At 35.9% G+C, this 6,000-nt stretch overlaps 1 protein-coding gene across 1 annotated transcript; it reads left to right on the top strand.

The window, feature by feature from the left end:
• Positions 1-3,135: 3,135 nt before the first annotated feature.
• TAAR9 (trace amine associated receptor 9) lies at positions 3,136-4,195 on the top strand. The gene has a single exon (NM_175057.4). The coding sequence runs from the start codon at positions 3,149-3,151 to the stop codon at positions 4,193-4,195; it is 1,047 nt and encodes a 348-aa protein (NP_778227.3). The 5' UTR covers positions 3,136-3,148.
• Positions 4,196-6,000: the final 1,805 nt, after the last annotated feature.

Raw genomic sequence — 6,000 nt, forward strand, 5'->3', positions numbered from 1 at the left:
GTAAGGCACTCCATTCTAGGATCACATACTTCTTTTTTTTTGAAACAGAGTCTTGCTCTGTCACCCAGGCTGGAGTACAGTGGCACAATCTTGGCTCACCGCAACCTCTGCCTCCCAGGTTCAAGCAATTCTCCTGCCTCAGCCTCCTGAGTAGCTGGGACTACAGGCACCTGCCATCACACCCGACTAATTTTGGTGGGTTTTTTTTTTTTTGTATTTTTAGTAGAGACGGGGTTTCACCGTGTTAGCCAGGATGGTCTTGATCTCCTGACCTCATGATCTGCCCGTCTTGGCCCCCCAATTCTCTTGCTCTTTAGTCTCCTTTATTCTGGAGAAGTTCTTTAGGCTTTTACAACATTAACATTTTTGAAGAATATAACTTCAACCCCCACTGCCCTCCACCCTTCTAAAAATAGGATGTTTCTCAACTTGGGTTTGTCTGAAATTTCTTCATGATTAAATCCAGGTTATGCATTCCTGACTGGAATACCATGTACAGTATATTTTGTGCATCTCATAGTATCTTATCCAGAGGCATACCTGGCCATCTGCCCTTCATTGGGGATATTAATTTTGATCACCTTGTCAGGGTCTTGTTTGATGTCTCCACTATATAGCTACTATTTTTTCTTTTGCAGCTAATAAGCAATTTCTGGGAAACACTTTAAACCATATAAGTACTACCTGATTCTCATAAAACTCCACCCCTCCTCAATTTAGCATCTAGTGATGATTGTTGCCTAAATCAATATTAACGTGACGGTTCCAAAACAATAATGTTTCAAATTTATACTCTCTTCATATGTATCAGTTAGCACTTTGCATTCTATTGTAAGAAAGAGTTTTCATTTGTCATCTATCTATCTATCTATCTATCTATCTATCTATTTATCAATCATTTTATCTATATCTGATTAGTGTGGCATCATTGATTCTTTTTCAGTGTTTTATACTTTTTATTCCCCCTAATCATATAAGGACCCAAATTGTCCCACATTCAGTCAGTAGGAGCTCATTTATGCTAGCAACATCGTTCTTATGAAATACCCCAACATTTAAAAAAACTTTCTTAATTTTTGGCATCCAAATGTGTTCCAGTTTCCTCCTGTAGTTCCTTCCCTGTCCCATGCAGGAATGAATCATTTCTTTGAATAATAAAGAAGCCCTAGTTGCTCTTACTGGATAAAGGTATTAAACACCAAGATGTGGGGCTTAGGGATGCACCTTGCTACTCAAGTGTCTTGGCTTCCAGGAATGGGCCAGTTTTAAGACACTCTACGAGACTAAAGGCTGCTATTTTAGGGCTCAAGTATAAAAAACTGAGGAAAGTGGTCACTATCTTTTTGCACAACAGCATCCTCAATTGGGTGTTAGGGAAGTGGGGATTTTTAAAGTTTAGGAAAATAGCATTCTTTAAATAGACATTCAGAATCTCAGGCAGGGCACCACGTATGTGGCAGTGGTGGAATTTTTTTAGCCATTTTGAGAGTAAAACAAGAGATGCAGTGGACCTTAGGAGACCTGGGGAAGAAGAGGAGAACATGGGGGTATGGAATGTGATTTTATTGGGTAGACTGACTTGTGTGCACACAGATGCACTTTTCTGAGGAATCCTAGGAGTAACAAGGAGACATTTTGCAAGGAGGAGATTAAGTCTTGTGCCATCAAACTAGTGAGGGCTCTGGTAAGAAAGAACTGGGAAATAAAAGTAAAAATAAATTGATTTAAAACTCATAGATCAGTGAAGCCAGAAAATACTAGAGAAACCTGAAAATACCTGTACACACACCTGTATACACACAAACACACACACACAAAATTTAAAATTCACAGACTAGTGAAGCCTATTACCTAAAAACTGTAGCCTTATAAAGAAAAGCTCAGTCCTCCTCAGAGAGTTACAAGGAAAGAGTAGCCATTTATTTAGGAATATATTTGACTTATGTGTATGCATGTAACCTTTTCTAGGAATCTGTACTTTCAACAGAGCCCAGACCCATGGCATAGGGTTAATGCCAATAAAAGTAGTTCAGTCTCTAGCTCAAAGATTAAGATTCCAATGCAAGGTTGCACTTATTCATGGTTAAATGAAGTAAAACCATTCACTGTTGTTAGGTGAACTCTTTAAACCTTCTTAAGACCCTAAGCTTCAGTATACGAACAGACTCATACACCTAGAGAAATCAAGTTGGTCTCTATTTGCACCTTGGATGACTCAGCATGAATCTATTCTTCAAGGATATGGCTTATTTAAAAACATCCCTCCGGTCCACCCCAGTTTTTGTCTATTCTTCTGTGATAGGTTTAAAACTACACCGTTTTTCTAAGGATGGGAAGGTAAGATGTTAGGTGAGTTATTGCTTATTTTAATTATTAATTTTAGACACCTAACACTGCCTATTAGCCTGGAAAATACTTTTACACTGACTAATATCAGTTCAATAAGATTTTTTCTCTAAATCATCTCAAGCTGTCTGAATCGTGAAAGAATATGAAAAGAAAAAAAATACAAATTCTGAAAACATAAGTAGTAGAAGAAATGTGTTCCTAAAGTAAGTTTAAAGCTATTATGAGGAAACTTTTCCTTAATCTTCACACTCCATACCATAGGGATTTTGAAGGTATAGTTTGAAGGAGATGTAATTTACCTCTTCCTTCATGAATAAATGAAGCATAGTTTGTCATTACTGCTAAAGTGCTGCTCAGGGGAGATAATGTAAGAAATAAAGCTCAGCCTTTGATAGCCTAATTACTTCTCAACTGTGGTGGTTATAGATGAGATTTTTCAGAAGATAAACTAACACACAAGAAAATAATTTTTTAATGATTAGTAAATTTTATATATATATCTCATTGGACTAAGTGTATTGCCAGCCATTTAATTAGGAATATATTTGACTATATTTTTAATGGCTTTCTGCAACATATTTCCACTCTAAATATATTAAAATGTGAATGTGGGAACACTTTTTAGAAAGATCAAGACGTTATAGTTAATATGGAAAAGCACTGGTAGAAAAATCACAAACTTTTATCATTTTAACTGGAGATATTTTCCCCTCCTAGAAGACTTTGAAATTGCTTCCTTTTAAAAAAATTTTTGAAAGCAGGAATTTGAGAACTTTAAAATAGTTCAAACAAGAAAGCAATGGTGAACAATTTCTCCCAAGCTGAGGCTGTGGAGCTGTGTTACAAGAACGTGAACGAATCCTGCATTAAAACTCCTTACTCGCCAGGTCCTCGATCTATCCTCTACGCCGTCCTTGGTTTTGGGGCTGTGCTGGCAGCGTTTGGAAACTTACTGGTCATGATTGCTATCCTTCACTTCAAACAACTGCACACACCTACAAACTTTCTGATTGCGTCGCTGGCCTGTGCTGACTTCTTGGTGGGAGTCACTGTGATGCCCTTCAGCACAGTGAGGTCTGTGGAGAGCTGTTGGTACTTTGGGGACAGTTACTGTAAATTCCATACATGTTTTGACACATCCTTCTGTTTTGCTTCTTTATTTCATTTATGCTGTATCTCTGTTGATAGATACATTGCTGTTACTGATCCTCTGACCTATCCAACCAAGTTTACTGTGTCAGTTTCAGGGATATGCATTGTTCTTTCCTGGTTCTTTTCTGTCACATACAGCTTTTCGATCTTTTACACGGGAGCCAACGAAGAAGGAATTGAGGAATTAGTAGTTGCTCTAACCTGTGTAGGAGGCTGCCAGGCTCCACTGAATCAAAACTGGGTCCTACTTTGTTTTCTTCTATTCTTTATACCCAATGTCGCCATGGTGTTTATATACAGTAAGATATTTTTGGTGGCCAAGCATCAGGCTAGGAAGATAGAAAGTACAGCCAGCCAAGCTCAGTCCTCCTCAGAGAGTTACAAGGAAAGAGTAGCAAAAAGAGAGAGAAAGGCTGCCAAAACCTTGGGAATTGCTATGGCAGCATTTCTTGTCTCTTGGCTACCATACCTCGTTGATGCAGTGATTGATGCTTATATGAATTTTATAACTCCTCCTTATGTTTATGAGATTTTAGTTTGGTGTGTTTATTATAATTCAGCTATGAACCCCTTGATTTATGCTTTCTTTTACCAATGGTTTGGGAAGGCAATAAAACTTATTGTAAGCGGCAAGGTCTTAAGGACTGATTCGTCAACAACTAATTTATTTTCTGAAGAAGTAGAGACAGATTAAAAACATTACTGTAGAGACCTCAAAACTAACTTGAAATTAAGGTCAACTGCAAAAATAAACACTTGGACATAGAGAGGCAAGCATGATCATATGCCAAGTTGTAGGACAATACATTCAACAGTTGTTCTAAAGCATTTGTTGTCTTCATGTATTTTGACATATTTTAGATTTAGTGATAAGTGAATAAGATTTGCTGATTCTTTTCCATTTAGCATTCTTTTATGGTTTTCTGGTTCCTTACTTTCTTCTCTGAGATTCCTACTCGTATCTTCAAATATTTTCAAGTTTTGTAGTTTCTCCCACACTCATGATCAGTGTTCAGCTGTCCAAAATACACAAAGGGGAAAGTAAAGCTCCTGCTTTACTTATAAGTTAGATTCTCTGAGGACAAAAATCTTTGACGTATATCTTGCTTGAGAAGTAGACACAGTATTATAAATTCTTGAAACTTTATTTTAATGTAAAAAGACTTTATAGAGAGCTGGAATGCAGAACTTTCTAGTGCTCAGAGATCATCTGAAAAATGCTTGAGCACTTTTATTTTCTGAACCCTGGCAGTTCTTCCTGCTCATTTTACAAAGACTGTGTTAGCAAAGAAAATGTTTAATGATTATGTGAATACACACTACATCTTACTTTTGGAGAATATAATTTATTATTGTGGAATAAGCATGTGAACAAAACGATGGTTTCTGTAGTTCTTTTTTTAGTAATTTTAAATAAAATAAGAATTTTTAAAAGCCAATTCAAATGAGCAGTTTTTCACTTTTGAGGTCTTACTTTGAACCAGATATTGTATTTGGCATTGAAATTGTATAAAGCTGAGTAATCCAAATATAACAAAGGATTGTTTCAAAATAGCAAATATCCAAATTGGTATTATACACTCTAGGAACAGCTTCAGTTTTCCCATCTGATTATACATTTCTCAATCAATATAAATTTTAATTCTTTTTAATTACAAGTATACATTAAGTGTTTCCAGCTACAGTCAAAATTTGAAAAGACAAATAATAAAATGGTTTCCCTTCTCAAATCCCTGAATCACTGCCTGAAATCTTTGTTTAGGTAGCTGATTTTCCCAGACAATTCTGTAATAGGTTTGTTTTATAAAATGAAAAGAAAAAGTAACTGAGTAAATGGAGCTACACACACATTACATATCATACATTTTATAGATGAACCAGTTTGGAAATACTTTACACAAGATTAAGCTGTTTCCTATTTGTGTGTTAATACCTTTCAAAAAGATCAGAGACTATTTAGGAGGAAAATAATTAAAGGTAAAAGAGGACAAAAGGAAGATGCAAGTCTTCATAGCAGGGTACCTATTTGTGGTTCAGATAATACTGCCAAGGAACAGCTTTATTGATCAACTTTCAAATGCTCACAGTTAAGGTCCCGTATTCTCCTTCTTTAAAAAGGAGCTCAAGAACTTGGGAGTCAGGTAATGTCTTTATAGAAATGTGAGTTCCTTCCTTCAATTCCAAGTGTGAACTTACATTAACACATAAAAAAAAGGAAAACAATTTGGGCGGACTTTAAAAATATATACCATTCCATTTACTTGTACTATGTAGAGTGTAATCTTTAGATGAACTGATTGCAGAAATAAATACTGTACAGTGATATTTCCAAGATCTATCCACATCATAATGGAGAATACACTTCCAATCTACTCTTTCTTGTTTATTTTCTTTTCCTCTTCTCATAGCGCTTAAAAAGGAAGTCTTTTGATCAAAAATTTGTTTTCCCCAAAATTAACTAGATTGTTAATGCAACACCACTCCTCTCTTCTCTACACA

Source organism: Homo sapiens, chromosome 6 (assembly GCF_000001405.40).
Source record: "Homo sapiens chromosome 6, GRCh38.p14 Primary Assembly".
Classification (NCBI taxonomy): domain Eukaryota; kingdom Metazoa; phylum Chordata; class Mammalia; order Primates; family Hominidae; genus Homo; species Homo sapiens.

Excerpts from the sequence above, each read along its gene's own strand:
- TAAR9 (NM_175057.4), top strand. The coding sequence starts at position 3,149 with ATGGTGAACAATTTCTCCCAAGCTGAGGCTGTGGAGCTGTGTTACAAG.